An 18,942-nucleotide genomic window follows, 5' to 3' on the forward strand; every position below is an offset into this window, starting at 1 on the left:
GATAGATAAATGACAGATATAGATAGATAGATAGATAGATAGATAGATAGATAATTGATAAATAGATGCTTTTACAAAATACAAACTTCAATTAAACTTCTAAATTGCAAAAAAAAAAAAAAATTCACTTGCCGAATACCACTCAATCAAAGTTTTTTGAGAAGTAAAATATATGACTGTGGTTTTTAGAAGAAAAGTAAAAATGATGATGTATCACAAACATCAGATAAAGGAATGGAATCCCTGCTGTTTCCATCAGTTGTCTGTCTCCTAAAGAAACAATATTATCCAAGTACCTTGCACACTGCTGGTTCACAAGGGTGGAAGCCTGGAGAACCTTTTATCTTGGAATTAACAAATAACAAAACTACAGTCTTTCTTATTTTTAAAATATAGCCTCAAATTCATGATAAAACTCCTTGATTCATTTCACTCATTTATTTGAAATTAAAAACAGATACAACATACAAAAGCATTGTATATTTTCAGTCAAATTTTGCAGGCTTTGGGAGATTGCACTATGACTTTTATTTAAATTAATTTGTGTTGACTTTAGAAATATCTATTCTTACAAGGCATCTTTTAACTTCTACTAATTTTTCTGTGGCATATTCTTCCTGTGCCTTGAATTCACCATATTCATTATATTTTCCTCAGTATCCTTATTTAATGAGTTTAAACCACTTAGGGATATTACTTCAAAGTATTAAATGATGAGAGATACAGCATATAGAAGTCTCCCTTCATTTGGTACCAACGTGAAAGCAAAAGGATTTATAATTTAGATTCTCTAAGCATTTTTTTAGCTGTCAATGATTATTAGGCCTTATACTCATCAATAAAACCAAAGAGGTAGTAATCAATGATAGTGAGCACCAGAATTCTGGTAGCTTAGCAATGCAAGCGCTTCAGAAGTAAGTTATTATAGCCAACTAATTCCAAAGTTTACAAAGTTGTTGTAAAGAAAATTGGCACTTGAAGTGGACTACAGTGAAAACAATCACAGAAGTTCATGGTTTACCAAAAGTTCTAGTAGGTTTTAGTTGTTGAACCTTAAATATGCAATTAAAAAAATAATCATAGAACAACACTACTTGAATAACTGGTGATTTGTCCATTGCAAGCATAAGAAATAAGATGGGGGCTGGGCGCTGTGGCTCACGCCTGTAATCCCAGCATTTTAGGAGGCTGAGGCGGGCAGATCATTTGAGGTCAGGAGTTTGAGACCAGCCTGACCATTATGGTGAAACCTCATCTCTACCAAAAATACAAAAAATTAGTGGGGCATGGTGATGTACACCTGCAATCCCAGCTACTTAGGAGGCTGAAGCAGGAGAATCGCTTGAACCCAGAAGGCCGAAGTTGCAGTGAGCCAAGATCGCGTCACTGCACACTACAGCCCGGCAACAGCGTGTGACTAAAAAAAAAAAAAGAAAGCAGATGTGTCTACAGTTGGCAGAAGAGTTTGTTTTATACAGATTATAAAATATTATGAGATTTATGATTATAAAGAAATTAATGCCTCTTTTAGGACAAAGACATTGTTGTATACCTCCTCTAGGAACTAAAATATAAGGTTGACTTCTCTGTTTCCAAGTGTTTTGCATTAAAGCAAATAAAGCAGGTAAGGGTGAAATAATACACCCTTATCTGGATATAATGTGATATACAACTGACCAACATTAATTTTAGAATTATATTTTACAAGTTTTTTGAAAGATTACATTGATCTTTTTTAAGATATTGCTAGAAGGCAAGACTTTGTTTTACCTGCATTTTATCTGATGTTCTTTTCTTAGCAAAGATCCTGGAGAGGTTCTAGTTTCATCTTTTTTCCCATTATTAATTGGCCCTGTAACTAAGTAAAAAATTATGAATAATAATAAATTGATAGTGCTTCCATTGATTAAGCATCTGGTGTATGCCAGGCCTTGGCAAACCTTTGCCCTCTGAAATACCTAATGCACAGTCTGTGGGCTACTCTTCAGATAACAGAGAAAAAAATAAAGCTACATTTTCCTGGGTCTTGAGGTTTTGCAAGCATTTTCTACATTGGAATAGAAAATTCGTGTTCCTGTTTCTCTACTTCACTGGTCCTTCTCTTAACAATCTATTTTTTAGTTAATAAAATTAAAATTCAGAAATTAATGTACTATGGTACTGCCCAGGCTTTAAAGTTTAACCCAACTGGGTTATAGGATTTGGTAACAGCCCTGAGAGTTAAGACAGGTGATATTTTTTCCATTTTACTGGTGAGGAAACTGAGGCTTAGAGGGATTATAATATTTACATAAAGTCATGCAATAAGGAAACATTAAAATCAGAACTTGAACTCCTCTGTCTCAACTTCCAGTCTCTATTCCTATACAAAGTAGAAACATCAATTGAATGCAAGATCATCTTTCAAAATTATGCAAACTCCATGCAAATGAGGACATCCACGAACTAATTAGGAAATATCAAGTAACCTGACACATAAAATATGAGAAACATTCCATAAATATTAATTCTGGTGATCTTTCCTACATAAACAATTGAATGTGGTCTACCTTTTCAAATGGAAAGTAAATGTTGAGATGTTACGTCCCATGTGTTTTTTTCTGTTTATCTTGTCATTGTGATTTATATAATTTTTGATAAATCATAAAAATAGAAAAAGGTACAGAGAATAATTAGCACAAAAGCATATGTTCTACCATGCTAAATTAATAATTGTAAGCATTCTGCCGAAGTTCTATAGTGGTGTTTTGGGATTAGCAAATAAACATTACACAGAAAGTTGAAGCATTGTTTTCCTCCATCCTAAACACAACCCCACTGCAGTTTTTTCCCTCTCTCTCAAGAGGTAACCAGTATCATAAAGATGGCATACACTTCTAGTCCATCTTTATGTGCACACAACCACCTATGTACACATAAACATCTATATATTCATGAAAAGTATAGAGTATTGTATACATGTTTTAATTTTAAATAAAAGACATTTCACTGAACTTAATATTATACAATTTTTTGTATAGTAATTTTCATTCAGGCCAGGTGCGGTGGCTCATGCCCATAATCCCAGCATTTTGAGAGGCCAAGGCAGGTGGATCACCTGAGGTCAGGAGTTGGAGACTAGCCTGGCCAACATGGCAAAACCCTGCCTCTACTAAAAACACAAAAAATTACCCAGGCATGGTGGCGAGCACCTGTAATCCCAGCTACTTGGGAGGCTGAGGCAGGAGAATTGCTTGAACCCAGGAGGCAGAGGTTTCAGTGATCAGAGATCACGCCCCTGCACTCCAGCCTGGGTGACAGAGTGAGACTGTGTCTCTAAAAACAAAAGAAAGGATTTCATTCAATATCATAATTGAGATATATCCCCATCAGTATATCTAAATTTGTTGCTGAAGTAGCTCCTCTTTATCTCACTTTTTGTGGTTTAAAGATATTAAATGGGATATTCCAGAAATAAACAATTCATAAGTTTTAAATTGCACACCACTCTGAGTAGCATGTCAAAATTTCACTTTGTCCTACCCAGGACATGAATCATCCCTTGGTCCAGCATATCCATGATGTAAACACTACCCATCTATTAGTCACGTAGCAGCCCTCTGAGTTATCAGATCATAGTATATATAAGGCTCAGAACTATTTGCAGTTTCAGGCATCCACTGGGATCTTGGAATGCATTCCCATGCGAGGACAATAAAAGTCCCAAGGGGGGACTATTGTAGTACAATGCATTTTATCAGTCCACTCCCTTACTAATAGATATTTAGGCTTTTCCTGATTCTTCTCTATTAGAAATATAACCAGTTAGTCTAGGAGGTTCAACTTATTGCAGTAAAATTAGGTGTCACTGGTGTAGCTCTGAGCCTTCATCTGCTTCCTCTATTTACTTTCTTGCCCACAACCACAAGAAGAGGAAGAGGGCATTGTATGAAAGCAGAGTGTCCCTGAACTCACCCACTTACCAAGCCCCTAGCCTAGATTCACTCAGAAATTGCATCTGTGCAGGTAATAGGGGAGATGAATTAGAAATTACCAATGTTCACTATTAGCCAATTCTCCTTTGGGTGCATGGTGGATGAAATTCTCTGCCCTTTTCAAGGTAGGTGTGACCATGTTCATATTCTGGCCAGTGAGATGGAAGCAGTCAAATTCTACAAACTGGAACAGGCATCACACCGATCACTCTGGCTTATTACCAGTCAGATCCATGTGAAGAGTTTTATTTCTTCAGGCCTAGTGGTCCCTTGCAGGATGCAATCATATATGTCATACCACTGATCTTTAGTTGAAAATGCCTCTTGTCACTTGGGTAAGACTGTAGTCAACAATTTCATCCACCCTTTAGGGTCTCCTCCCATAGGCAGGGGGTGTGTGCAGAATCTCCTCCACCTGACTGTGTCCTCACTCCGCCATCTCTTCCTGTAGCACTAACCATGAACATTATGCTGTCTCCCATGCCAGTATCCCATACTCTCAGGTACACAGGAACTAGGGAAGTGACTTTCTTAGGATATTACACAGAGAAGGAATAGTTTTTCCTCATAAATCCTGCACCTGCACTCTTTGAAATATTTATAGTCTTTTTTTTTTTTTTTTTTTTTTTTTTTTTTTTTTTTTTTTTTTTTTTTGAGACGGAGTCTCGCTCTGTCGCCCAGGCCGGACTGCGGACTGCAGTGGCGCAATCTCGGCTCACTGCAAGCTCTGCTTCCCGGGTTCACGCCATTCTCCTGCCTCAGCCTCCCCAGTAGCTGGGACTACAGGCGCCCGCCACCGCGCCCGGCTAATTTTTTGTATTTTTAGTAGAGACGGGGTTTCACCTTGTTAGCCAGGATGGTCTCGATCTCCTGACCTCATGATCCACCCGCCTCGGCCTCCCAAAGTGCTGGGATTACAGGCGTGAGCCACCGCGCCCGGCCACCACACCTCTTCTTATGTCAACTTGGATTGTGATGAGAGAATGGGGCCAGTCAACCACCCAGTGAACTCTGTAGGTAGGCTGAACCCGATTACTTTGGTTTCTCAGAACCTCTGATGTGGGCCAGTTCCTCCTTGTGGGTCTCAGCTTTAGGATCACCCTGTTATGTACAGGAGGCTGCTACAAAAGGCCTTGAAAATATTTCCTTGTAGAAATGTGCACTGAACATACCTAGAAGTAAAAGTCTTGGGTTGGAGGTTTAGTTAATGGTCATAATTAGTACAACTATTCCTGAAATTTTTAAAAAATAGACCTACTCTGAAACAAGTCCCCCTGGCTCCTTTGCTCTCACCTTCCCACCTTACCCTGAGATGCTTGCTCTGCTGTGATGACCTCTTTTCTGCTAAGCAGAGTTGTTTTTCACTCTTAAGAACATTGATGCCCTGCTTCTCTACAACTGCCCCAGAAATAACATGCCCTGGCCTGCAACTTCCTAGCCACCTCCACTGTCAATAAATGAAGCAGAGGGTCAAGGACACTGGTCCCTGCTGACCTGTGCCCTTCAGCCAGCTGCACTCACACTGGAGAGTGTGAGTTCTGTCTTCTAGGAGGACCCTGATCCCTCGCCCCACCGACTACCCCCCACAATGTGGGTCCTGACCAGCAGGGGATAGGAGGACCTCTCATGCCTCGCTAGGGCCTTTCGTGATTGGTGGTGTTGGAGGAGCCCACAGAAATGAGAAAATTGACAAAGTAACCCGAACGGTTGCCTAAATGCAGTGACCAACATAAGGAGCCAATGGATTAAAAGGATAGGAAAGATGAGAGTAAGAAAAAGAGGCTCGATGAAGAGAGAATAGAAACAGGGAGTCAATTCCTGATTAGGCAACTTTGGAGTGAACAAGTTCTGAACAAGGAAAAATCTAGGGAGAGAATAAATGGGGCCTGCCTAGAGAAACTAAGAATAGGCCAAATTATACAATGATGTTGTCCCTTCTATAGCCTGTTCCCATAAATACTTGCCTTTCAGGAAAAAAAAATTAGGTGGTACAAGTTGCAGAATTTACACCTAGACCTCTTTTAAATCTGAGAAATTATTCTACCACTGTTGGTTCTGAGTAAAGAAAACTTTATGGAGGATGTATACTACTGTGTGTGCTTCACTAGCAAACCTAGGAGGAAATATTTATTATAAAACACACTTTAGGGACCAATTTAAAGTAATCAGTATTATATTAAAAATCTAGGATCAGAGTCCAGAAAACTATAGATTGAGTATGATTTGGGATAAGCTACTAGAGAAGACATTTCTTTTTTCAATGTTTATTTGATGTCTATATGTTTGATATAGTTTGGTTCTGTGTCCCCACCCAAATCTCATGTGGATTTGTGATCCCCATGTGTTGAAGGAGGAGTCTCATGGGAGGTAACTGGATTATGGGGATGGATTTTCCCCATGCTATTCTAGTGATAGTGAATGAGTTCTCATGAGATCTGATGGTTTAAAAGTGTGAGAGCTTCGCCCTTGCTCTCTTTCTCTCTCTCTCTCTCTCTCTCTCTCTTTCTCTCTCTCCTGCTCCACTATGGTAAAACGTACTTGCTTCCCCTTTACCTTCTGCCATGATTGTAAGTTTCCTGAGGCCTCCTAGTCATGCTTCCTGTTAAGCCTGTAGAACTGTGAGTAAATTAAACCTCTTTTCTTCATAAATTACCCAGTCTCTGGTAGTTCTTCATAGCAGTGTGAAAACGAACTAATACAATGTTCTTCCACTGTTCCCATTTCTCAGAAAACATGTTGGGATCTTCAACCTGATCAAACCAGCTAGTATACAGTGCAAAGTGACAAATCTTTAAATACAAGCCCTTGACACCAGGGACTGTAAACTGCGCCAGATCAAAGAATGGGTAAATGTTTACTGATCTTTTTACTTATTTTCCAATTAAAAAAAATTCTTCTGTGCTCAAGTAATGTATCTAATTTTTAAAAATCTGCATACCATGTCAAAGGACAAAATTGGAGCACTCTTATTTTGTAGATTTTCATTTTTTTAATAGCCTGCAAAAGCGTACTTGAGCAGCAATGTTGCTTCTGCTCATTCAACTGCAGAGGTACAAGAGGGAAAAGTCAAATACAGGGGGCTGACAGATTCAAATATTCACTTCTTGAGACACCGAATTATATAAATGTTCTTCCATTAATGAAACTGGCTGTATGCCATTTAATTTAGCCTTTATTCAGAAAGCTGCTAAATAAATGCTAGTGAAGGGGGATCAAAAAATAACTATTATACCAAAGAAAAATGACTGTGTCAAACTTAAAAAAAAAAAAAGGAGTAACATGAAACTACATGAGATTGCCCGTGGAAAATCCCCAGGCTCTGTCTTTACCTTTTCTAGTCTGTTTTCTCCATGTCTCTTTCCCCAAACCCCATCATCAGCTCTCTTTTGAGTTTATTTAAATTATAGAATTTTCTTTAACATGATATTCTGATTTTATCTTGTGACATTAATCACAGTTATGCAGCTATATAGAAGCCTTGCACATTATAACATGTCCTGCTGATCATACCACAATTAACTCTTGAAGTAGAAAAAAAGCAAGGTTGAATAAAAATTACTCTTCAAATTATCCAAACAGCAGATTCACTCAAAAAAAAAAAAAAAAAACCCAGTGAAAGTAACATCGATTTATGCATTCCTCCAACTATTTGGAGGACTCAAAGATCAGAAAAACAAGTTTTCCCAGTAAGGAAGATAAATATTTGTTTAAAAAACATTAGAAAAGCTTCACAATTTAAGACTTTCTCTTTACTTAAATAAAAAACTCTCAAGTCTGCCATATGATGGCTGCCAGTGACATCATTGCAGACAAAAAAAAAAATGAATTACCCTCATGGTTCACTTGAGTAGCATATACATCAGTCACCATTTACCGACACAGAGCACTGTCATCATACATCCAGATAGACACAGGAGCGGTACTAAGGGAGAAGAAAACAGTTATTACAGCTGAGTGTCTTACAGTCTAAAGACAGTCGAGAAGTACATATGCCATGAATTGAAAAAAAAAAACAAAACTGGAGAATCACAGCAAATGCACTGGTAAAATCTACTTATAAGTAATCAGAGAGAACGTGAAGTAAGGAAAATAGAAAGTCCAGGACCTGCAATATTCAGCTATACCTGGCATTTTCTTTCATTAAAACATCCCAGTCTTAGATTTATTTTCTCACTCATGATCAAAAGAATACTTGATAATTTATTTTTCTACTTCTTTTTAACAGTTAGATGCCCTTAAGTCATAGAGTAAAATTGGAAGGAAAGAAACCAGTTTGAAAATCATTCCATTGTCATTTATCTTACAAATTCCAGTTTTTCTATTAAGCGTTCTTAAAACAGACAATTACAATGAACTAAGTAGACGAATAATTACCTTGTATAAACATCTTTCAAAAGCTTTCACAATCAGCATCTCAAATGCTTAGAGTAAAGGCATCGTATCTATGGAGCTTGTTTAACACTGAGCACAGGTATTTGACAGATGCCTTTAATGAGAAGGGTGATCTCACCAGACTCCTAGAATCAGAGAAATAGCAGTGCTTAAACAAGCGGCTTAGATTTTCTACAAAGCATAGTGTTTGTGAACTCTTTCATGTAGCCCTAGAATAAAAATGAAGACCTAAGAATCGTGATCAATACTTCAGCATTTTAAAAATATAAGCCACACTAACAGGAAATTCAAAGAAATATCAATGACTAATAAACAAATGAAGAACATTCAATATTACTAATAATCAAAAAAGAGCAATTTCAAACAAGGTGTATTTTTTTTTTTTTTTTTGAGACGGAGTTTCACCCTTGTTGCCAAGGCTGGAGTGCAATGGGGCGATCTCAGCTCACAGCAACCTCCATGTCCTGTGTTCAAACGATTCTCCTGCCTCAGCCTCCCAAGTAGCTGGGATTACAGGCATGCGCCACTGCGCCCAGCTAATTTTGTATTTTTAGTAGAGATGGGGTTTCTCGATGTTGGTGAGGCTGGTCTCAAACTCCCGACCTCAGATGGTCCGCCCGCCTTCGTCTCCCAAAGTGCTGGATTACAGGCGCGAACCACCGCGCCTGGCCAGTGTTATTTTTTTCTAACAAATTGAGAGAAAATAATTTATTACACAAGATGAAAAAGTCAATTATTAAAATGTTGAAAAACCATTTGGAAATATACATCAAAACTGGAGATCCATTTGTTTGTTTTTGCCTTTGTCTAATAATTTTCATGCTAGAATCTATCTTAAGGAAATAATCAGCTAAAACTAGTTATATATAATAATTATTGTACAGTTATTTTTATAATAAAAACATACTTTAAAATTAAATATAAGAATGATGAAATAAATATGACATAACCTAATAATACATAGGTTACAAAGTAAAAGTAAAAAAACAAAAAACTCTGAAAGTGATCTTTTTGACGAATTACCAGTAAAATGAATAAATGCTCAATTGTTGAGTCAGAAAGTATGATGGTATCCTGTGTGTATGTGCACCTGAAAGTAAAAAAAAATCAAAAGGTGAACATTGATTCTGTCTCAAAAATAGAATCACATGTGAGTTTCTTCTGCTATTTATCTCACTATTTACAAATTATCTTATATGTACTCCTGTACATAAAAAAATTTAAAAAGTGAACTTAGAGATAGTTTGTCTTATATAGACTACTGAAGGTTAATTCCACAAGACCTGCATAGTTATCTTAAAATAAGTTTACTTGTGAAGAAGTGTTATTGGGGATTTTTAGGAAGAACTTTGTGAAGAGAGTGTTCAGTTTTCTTTCACCAAAGAACATATATTCGAGCAAAAGATGATACTTGGGAATAAGCTATCATTCTCTGGAACTAGCATAATAGCAATCCAGGAATTAATTATCCTCCTGGTTCCCTTGAGTACTGATTTGTGGAAACAGCAACTGAGTTTTCAACTGTATATCACAGAGTGGTCAACGGCACTTCAGGAGGATGTGCTAAGGAGGCAATTAAGACAAAAATGAAACCAGCAACACAGACAGAGAGAAATACATTTGTATTACATGGAGAATGCAGAAGGATCAACTGCAGTGACATAGAAAATTAAATGTCCCAAAATATAAAATGAGAAGTAAAAATATTTCCAAAACTTGACCTTTTTATAAAAGTGATATATTAGAAAATTTAGTTTCATGTTTATATAGTTCTTTGGCATTTTAGAGGAAAATTACTATATGAATCCCAAACACCCTATAATCCATCTAAGTCCTTGTTTGGTAAATATCTCATGGAATTGACTGCTTATTCATCTGAAGTGAGTAAACACTTATGGAGAACACAGAGCTGGATATTCTGCCCTAATTCATTTATTATTAAATAATTGTCCATACTCTGAGTAGTCATTTGTTCATTAATTGTCCAAAAATTAGCTCACCACTGTAAAATCTGATTACATGAAATTACAGTAGCACCAGAAAATAGATGGGTGATAAAAATCTGTGTATTTCTTATGCAGCTTTTGAGTGGGTTAGATGTTGACAGTTTTGTGTTGATACTTGCCTGCTAAATCTATTTCCTCTTCAGTCGTCTCCCACACAGCTCAGATGAGAACATAGAGTGTTTCTAGATATCTCTTCATACTCATCCAAAATACATCAAGCAAAGGGTGAGGGTAATTTTCAGACAAAACTTTCCCAAAAAATCACATGTTTGCTGAAAAGAAAAAAAAAAGCATATAAAATAACCATATTTTTTAAAAAAAGAAAAGACACCATATTTCAAGGCCATATTTCAGAGCTGTGGTTCAATAATGATATTAGAGAAAGAAAAAAGGAAAACCATTCAGGGGGATAAATTTCTCTAAGACTGGACTACCTACAAGCAGCATTCAAATATAACATGATAGCAGAAATGAAGAGAATGAAGAAACAGGAGAGCTCATTAAAGAGTCGGGCAAATGGAATGGTTTCTCTTCCAATTCCTCTGTTGCCTCTCTCTTCTACACCTCTATTCCATGTACAACTGATTAAACGATTCTTCAGCTTGAGTACATTCTTTCGGTCCCTAAACTTACTTTGTACAGTGTTGTAAGGGAATTTTTAGGTTTTAGGCAAAAAGAAAGTACTCATTCCCAGGTGAAATTTTTGGATATTTAATAGACAATCCTCCTGCCCTGAAAACAGTATTTCACTTATTTGAAGTATTTTATGCATTCCGAGTCTATGTTGCAAAAAGTCTTTTTCCCTTTTGTGGCTCCTTGAAAAAGTCTATGCTTTACATTAAATTTGCTTAACAAGTGTGGCTCTCTGTGGATGCGTTCAATGTCTCTAACATAATGAGGGAAGAAGAACCTGAACTAAATAGTACTAAGAATAGTTACTTAAATGTCCAAGTAAGGCAACATGCCTTAAAGATCCAACTTTAATTAAAAAGGACTATGGAGAACCATCATTAAATAATTGTCTAGATACATAAAAGCAGCCAAAGCAGGAAAACCTTCACCTGTCCTTCCAAATTCTAAGGTTGTAAAGTCTCAAAAGAAGTTTCTTTTAGTGCAATTGTTGCTGGTCTAGAGTAACAATTTTTCTGTCAAGGAAAGGATAAATGCTTTTCATCCAAGGATCAGGTTACAGCTCACAGACCCCAGTAGGAAGAGAATAGTGCCAACGAATTACTGCAGGAGTCAACCTGCATTTTCAAAGTCCATAAATAATGCAACAAGAGAACATATTTGGAGAAGGAATTTATTGGCCATGCCTTCATCCATATGCATTGGTAGAAGCACCATTCTGACTATTTTGCTGGTGGGGCATTTGTATTCTACTCAATGATTTACATACTGATGAGGCTATGAGAACCCAGAACGATGTTCCTAGGCATTGCTTTTTCAGCACTATGCAATTTGCATCTAAGTTCTTGAAAAACAGTTAATAAATAAGAGCTAAAGAATATTGCATGAGAATGGGAGCCAGTGAAACCTGTCCACAAAGGATTAAACTGGGCTGTCTTTCAACGTATTATTTGTGTCAGATCAGAAACAACCAAAATGATGCAATTTATCTGTTGAAATGAGAATACAGTGGTAAGAACACTTATCAGAAAACTCAATATAACCTGATAGAAAAATGAATGAAAATATATCACAGAGGCCAGATGTTTTCACAGAACAGCTCCCATGGATGTACCAATGTATACAATGAAGAAGTGTAAAATGCAAGCCTTGAAGAAATAAAATCCATGCCCACAACATTCAGAACTTTACTGTATTGCATGCAGCATTTCAAATGCCCAAGCTGTGCGACTCCCCACTCCTCCACATAGCCTTGCACATCAACTACCTATGGCCACGTCACCTTTTTTTCCCTTAACTAGTGGAAAATCTAGTATTTTGAAATTCTTGCTATATTATTTAAGGTAGTTTAAAATTCTAGTAAAACTAGAAATGTATAACATTCCCGTGAAGAAGAAAATAATTCTAGGGTTGTTTTTTGAGATACTCAAGAACTGATTTTTTTTCTTTTTTTTTTTTTTTTTTGAGACAGTCTCATTCTGTTGCCCAGGCTGGAGTGCAATGAATGACTCCATCTCAGCTCACTGCAACTTCCACCTCCCAGGTTCAATTAATTCTCCTGCCTCAGCCTCCCAAGTAGCTGGGATCACAGGAGCACACCACCACGCCCAGCTAATTTTTGTATTTTTAGTATAGACGGGGTTTCACCATGTTGAACAGGATGATCTCAATCTCCTGACCTCATGATCCGCCGGTGTCAGCCTCCCAAAGTGCTGGGATTACAGGCGTGAGCCACTGCGCCTGGCCGAGAACTCATTATTTTAACAGACTGCAAAGAGGTATAAAGAAGGCTAGGTATTATTCTCACGTTGCACACATACCCGCCACCAAGGCATTTTTCTCTCTTTCTTTCTGAGTGATAGATGCTAAATGTTGAGAAAGGATAATTCCCTTTTAGAGTTAAAAGGCTGAAGTCTATCCTATTTTATTGATTTATTCAATAAATATTGAATGCTTAATATGTATGGAACTCAGTGCTACCCTTGGAGGTATATAAACATGAAAGAGACATGGACCCTTGTTCTCCAGGAACTTACAATCAGCAGGAGAGAGAAGAGGCAGACAAATTACAATTAGGTAAACTAGAATGGAATACATAGAGTAGGTAAAGTACAAATCAAGAGCCACAGTGATACCAGTGGGGTATGGGAGGTCCCCAAACGCTGGTGGGAACTTGACCTCAGCCAGTATCCAGGCTCTTGACACCATTGTGAGAACGAATTCAAGAATGAGTTAGAAAAGAGTGAAAGTATAGAGATTTATTGAAAAATGAAAAGTACACACTCAAGAAAGAGGAGTGTGGGTATACTCAAGAAAGATTCATGCAAGGGGGTTTGGGGCTGCTACCTCTATGGGTGTCTTTAACTAAAGGGTAGAATATTTATAAACATTCCTGGAAAAGGGTGATTTCTTGGACTTGTGGTGCCACCATTTTTACACCAAATATGAATGTGCCTGGAACTAAGACACTGGTGGGTGTGTGACTTGTATGTTACTGAGGTCTTAGGAGAAACCTAGGTCAAATCCAGTGCCATGGTGGATCCAGTGGGTCTTAGCCAACTTGACCTACACCTTGGTTTTTTAGGGTCTTATCAGCTGTTTATGCAGCTATTTCAACAGTTTCCACTTGCTAGACATGTGAAACTGCTGCTTGGAATTTTCTGTTCTCCTGTGACCACCCTGTCTGTATTGTTCCTGTCTCAGTGGAGTTCAGACAAGAGAGAGATACTTCTGCTTGGAGGAAACTGACTCCTTCAAAGGATAGCCTTTTTGCTGGTCCGCAAACAGATAAGCAGTTGAGCAAAGGCACAGTGTAGAATATATTTAAAGTAGGATTGTCAGATTTAGCAAGTGATAAACTTTTTAAACTATAAGTATTTTCATGCAAATAATGAATCCAAATGTATTTTGGAAACCCGCAATTCATCTGGCAGTCTCATAATCTAGGCCTACGGAGCCACTGAAGGTGTTAGAGTAGTTAGAGTAGCACAATCAAGGCAGTGATTCAGAGACATTGCTCTGGAACCAGCAATGTGCTGGCTTGAGGTTTTAAAAAAAAGATATTTTAAAGATATTTTAGGAAAAAAATTAAATCAGCTTGAATGAGAGTAGTGACAGTAAAATCAAAGGCAAGAAGAATTTTGAAAGAAGAATCAAGAGGACTTGGCAATTGCAAAATATAGAATACAAGGGAGAGGGAGAACTCAGAACTGCCACAAGCATTTAAGCCTGGGTAACTTGAGGATCATTGAACCATTTCAGAAAGAAATCAGGAAATAAAGAAACATGAGAGGAAAGAGAATGAGCTTAGTTTGTGACATTTTGAGTTTGCAGAGCTGGGAGATCCTCAAAAGGAAGATGTCCAATGGCTTTGGAGAAATGTCAGAGCTAGAGATAGAGATCTGAGAGTTATCTACTTAGAGAAGAGAAAAACTAAATCTCCATTTGCTTTCTGTCTTTACATTATATTTATCTTATCCTTGATATGATGCTGACTTAATTCCCAAATAGAGAGAAAAGGTTTACACCACAATCTGTGTTTGTATTTCGTGTAATAAAATAGCATTGCTGATGCTTTCAGTGTTACTATTCTGTGCAGAGGAATCATTCAGCTATAAGGTGAGACCAATTTGGATTCAAATCCCAACTTTTCTCTTACAGTGTAACTGCTAAAACAACTATTTAACCGGTTTGACCCTTAGCTTTCTTACCTGCATAATGTATGCTCATAAGATTATAATAAAAACAAATGAGCTTTTATAGCTGGGCGCGGTGGCTCACACCTGTAATCCCAGCACTTTGGGAGGCCAAGTTGGGTGGGTCACCTGAGGTCAGGAGTTCGAAACCAGCCTGACCAACGGGGTGAAACCCAGTATCTACTAAAAATAAAAAAAAATTAGCTGGGCGTTGTGGTGCACACCTGTAACCCCAGCTACTTGGGAGGCTGAGGCAGGAGAATCGCTTGAACCTGGGAGGCGGAGGTTGCATTGAGCCAAGATGGCACCATTGCACTCCAGCCTGGGCAATAGAGCAGGACTCCATCTCAATAAATAAATAAATAAATAAATAAATAAATAAATAAGCTTTTATAGATAAAATATTTAGCATAGTTCCTGCCACATATTAATTGCTCAATAAAAGACAACTGTTACTCTTATTCTTTTACTGTGAAGGAATTTTTGTCTGTTTTAATAATCAACAATAGCAAAAAAGTCTAAGTGTACTTAAATGTTCAGGCTGCTATATCAGGTGACAAACTGCTTACATTTAATATATTGTACTTACTTGCGATTTTAAATCCTACCAAGAAAAGTTAAGGGTACACAAACAAATAATTGGTGCAAAAGTATAAAAAGCAGGCAAATCAGTAAAATTTTTCATTTTTCCAATTGCAAATGCATTTTAATTTTAATTCTTTTTTAATTGACAAATCAAAGGTGTATTTATTTACCATGTACTTAATTGACTTTTATGCTGAATATACATATGTTCTGCCATCATGAAGATGTAGTGAATAGCTTCCAGGAATAAAGTCCCTGGCATTTCTAAAGTAAGCTAAGTAAAACTATTGATCTTGTTCTAATTACCAACACACAGGACTATTTTTGACATTAAATGTTATCATCATACTAACAAGACTAATATTTTTATCCTGCCACAAACAATTATTTAATGATACAGTAAAACCCCAATGTTCTGAAGCTAAAAAGGCTTTAAATGAGTGCACAATATTGGCATTGACAGAAGAAATTGAACACTATTTTTGCTGACTTTGTTGTATTTTAAATAAAATTCTGCAGTTATCTGTCATATCAGACCAAAGGGAAAACCTTATATATTCATAGGAAGAGGCAGTTTTGACAATTCAAATATATGCATTTCCAAGAGAAACTAAAATGGCTTGGAAGGTTAGTTGAATTGAGCAACTGTGCACAATTTATTTCCAAACATACTACATTTCTGCAAAACCATGACAATCACCTGGCATGAACTCTGGTTACCCAAGTGAAAAACTTGCCTGAGATAATCTAGTGAAAACAACAAATAGCAGTTGTTTTCCTAATTGAGAAGTTCGGTAATTTGAAACTGAAGTGAAAAAGGTTTTAGAAAGGCCACTGGGACAAGAGTTCTCTAAGGTTCCAAAAATTTTAGTATATCCTACTAATATCCGAGTTTATTATTTCTCTCCTAAGCTGGTGATATCACTCCTGAGTCCACCTCATAGATCCATTAATCACTAGGTGTAATAGTACAATACTTTAATTCATTTTGAATCCTTTTGAGTGTCAGGTGTATTTCACATTGTTAACTGACTTGTATGGAAGACTTTGATTTCCTGTGTGATGTTTGTAAATTGCTGTTTGTCTCTTTAACCACGTACTTTGAATCATCGTTTTCTCTGGGAAGTCAACATTTTTCTATGGCCATGTTCGTCAAAGAATGGTCACTGGACCACCTGCATCAGAAACTCTTGGGATGTTTGTTAAATAGCAGATTTCTGGGCCCTTCCCAGACCTACTGTATATAGATGTCTATGGGTTAAGTTTAAGAATTCTTGAGTGAACCTTAAATGCATTAAAGTTTGATTATCAATGTTCTATAGGCCAAGAGATGGGAAGAAAGATTTCAATCTTTTTTTTTTCTAAGAAGAATCACTTTTTATTTAAGTAGATCGGAACATTCAATACAATTTGTATTAGTCTGTTTTCATGCTGCTGATAAAGACATACCCGAGATTGGGCAATTTACAGAAGAAGGAGCTTTAATGGACTCACAGTTCCACATGGCTGGGGAGGCCTCACAATCATGGCGAAAGGTGAAAGGCACGTCTCACATGGCAGCAGACAAGCAAAGAGAGGTTGTGCAGGGAAACACCCTTATAAAACCATCAGATCTCATGAGACTTATTCACTATCATGAGAAGAGCATGGGAAAGACCTACTCCCACGATTCAATTGCCTCCCATCGGGTCCCTCCCACAACATGTGGGAATTCAAAATGAGATTTGTGTGGGGACATAGCCAAACCATATCACCATTTATGCAGAAACTTAATTATTTGTAATGTATTAACAGATATCCAAGGAAGACAGGACTCCAGTCTTCTCAGCACGTTCAGAGCTAAAGCTAATCTAGATGCCTCTCCAGAGATGTAACTGTTTGGTTTTGTGGGTGATAAGAGAAGCTTAAAAAATAGCTATAGATCTAATTCTTATGATACATGAAAACATTTTTAGGAGAAATAAAAGCAAATATTCCCTAACATTATAGGATATATATGTTTCCGTGGCTCAGGAGGCCAGGGTTTTTTACAGGAGCACTGAGAAATTTAGGGAAGTATTGTTTTCTTACAGTTTCATTGGTCTGTTTATCTATCCTTCACCAGGTGGCATAAATGCTCCAACTTGGTTCTTCTGTCTCAAGATTGTTTTAACTGTTTTACTTTTTTTTTAATTTCTATATGATTTTAGAAAGAGCTTACACTTTCCATGGTAGGCTGAGTAGTGGCCCCAAAGATATTTAGGTCCTAATTCCTGGAGCCTAGGAATATTATTTATACAGCAAGAGGGACTTTGTGGATTTGACTAAGTTAAGGATTTTAAATGGGAGTATTATCATGGATTATCCAAGTAGGTGCTAAATATAATTTCAAGTGTCCTTATAAGAGGGAAGAAGAGGGAGACTTGACTACAGAAGATGAAAAGGCAATGTGACAATGGAAACAGAGATTGGAGTGACATGGCCACAAGCCAAACAATGCTGGGTGCCAGCAGAAGTTAAGGAGAGGAACGGAACCTCCCTGGCACTGACTGAAGAATGTAGTAAAACAAAACTCTGCAAAGAAACAAGTTGGTCTATATGGACTAGTCACAAAGGGGGTTAGGATGAACTACATGCATCACTCCGTGTGATGAAAGAGCAGAAAATGCGTCAATGGAGGAGATCGTTTCACGTATCCTGACTCCATGGAAAATTATTATTAGTACTATTAGTTTAGAGATGGGGGTCTCACTCTGTCACCCAGCCTGCAGTACAGTGGCACGATCATAGCGTCCTGCAGACTTAAACTCCTTAAACTCAAGTGATCCTCCTGCCTCAGCCTCCCAAGTAGCCGGAATTATAGGTATGAGCCACCACACCTAGCTTGCTCCAGGGGAAATTATTAAGGTCTCGTAAGGTATGTGTAGTGGCTTTAAGTGGCAGTTTTGCCAAAAATTATGCAGAATATTCTTTTGCCAAAATTTATGCAGAATATTCTTCATATAGTTGGTCCTTATTTATGACCTTAGTAAAGAACTGAGGGCATTTATCATGGTACTGTGACATTGTTTCTACAGGGGACTAAAGTAATGACAGTCCACCTACACAGATTCAGTGACCAAAAAAAAAAACCCACTTCCATTTTTTGTGCTGTTAATAAATGGCACTTTACATATATAAATGTAAATTATTTGAACATTTTGCAAGGTAGATGTTGTTATCTTTAACAGGTGAAGAAACTGGGTTCAAAGAAATAGTTTAAGTTACTCAAAGTGGCAGAGCTGGGAATTCAATTCAAATCTATTTGAAACAATGTAGCCCATGCTTTTTCTATATTTGATATATGAGAATGTGTTAGGGAAAAGTATGATAGTATGTTCTCTAAATTATCCCATCAAATACAATTGGCTCAATCAAGTTTTGGATAAGAATTGAAGCTTCCTGTACAAGTAAGTGTCTAAATACAGGTATTGTGATAGTTTAAAAGAGACTTAAGGGAAAAAAAAAAGAGGCCTGAACACTTTAGTTAATTCCTTTGTATGTAAAAATATTGATGATTTATTGTGAAAGTTCAAGATCCTCTTTTGGTATTCTGGTGTCAATGAAGAGCGAATTCATTTTTGCACAACGAATTCAAGGAAAATCAGGACTGAATTTGCTGCAGCAAGCAACTTTAGATAC

The 18,942-nt window shown here is 37.2% G+C and overlaps 1 protein-coding gene across 8 annotated transcripts in view; it reads left to right on the top strand.

Annotated features, from left to right (window-relative positions):
• GALNTL6 (polypeptide N-acetylgalactosaminyltransferase like 6) overlaps positions 1-18,942 on the top strand; it is a 1,228,156-nt gene that overhangs the window by 941,816 nt on the left and 267,398 nt on the right. The window contains exon 2 of one of the 8 annotated variants that reach the window (XM_011531997.2): positions 6,703-6,820. The exons of the other annotated variants lie outside the window; for them this stretch is intronic. Coding sequence (XP_011530299.1) covers positions 6,817-6,820 — 4 coding nt within the window. The 5' untranslated portion in view covers positions 6,703-6,816. The remainder of the gene's footprint in view (positions 1-6,702; positions 6,821-18,942) is intronic. 8 annotated transcript variants of the gene reach the window in all.

Source organism: Homo sapiens, chromosome 4 (assembly GCF_000001405.40).
Source record: "Homo sapiens chromosome 4, GRCh38.p14 Primary Assembly".
NCBI lineage: Eukaryota > Metazoa > Chordata > Mammalia > Primates > Hominidae > Homo > Homo sapiens.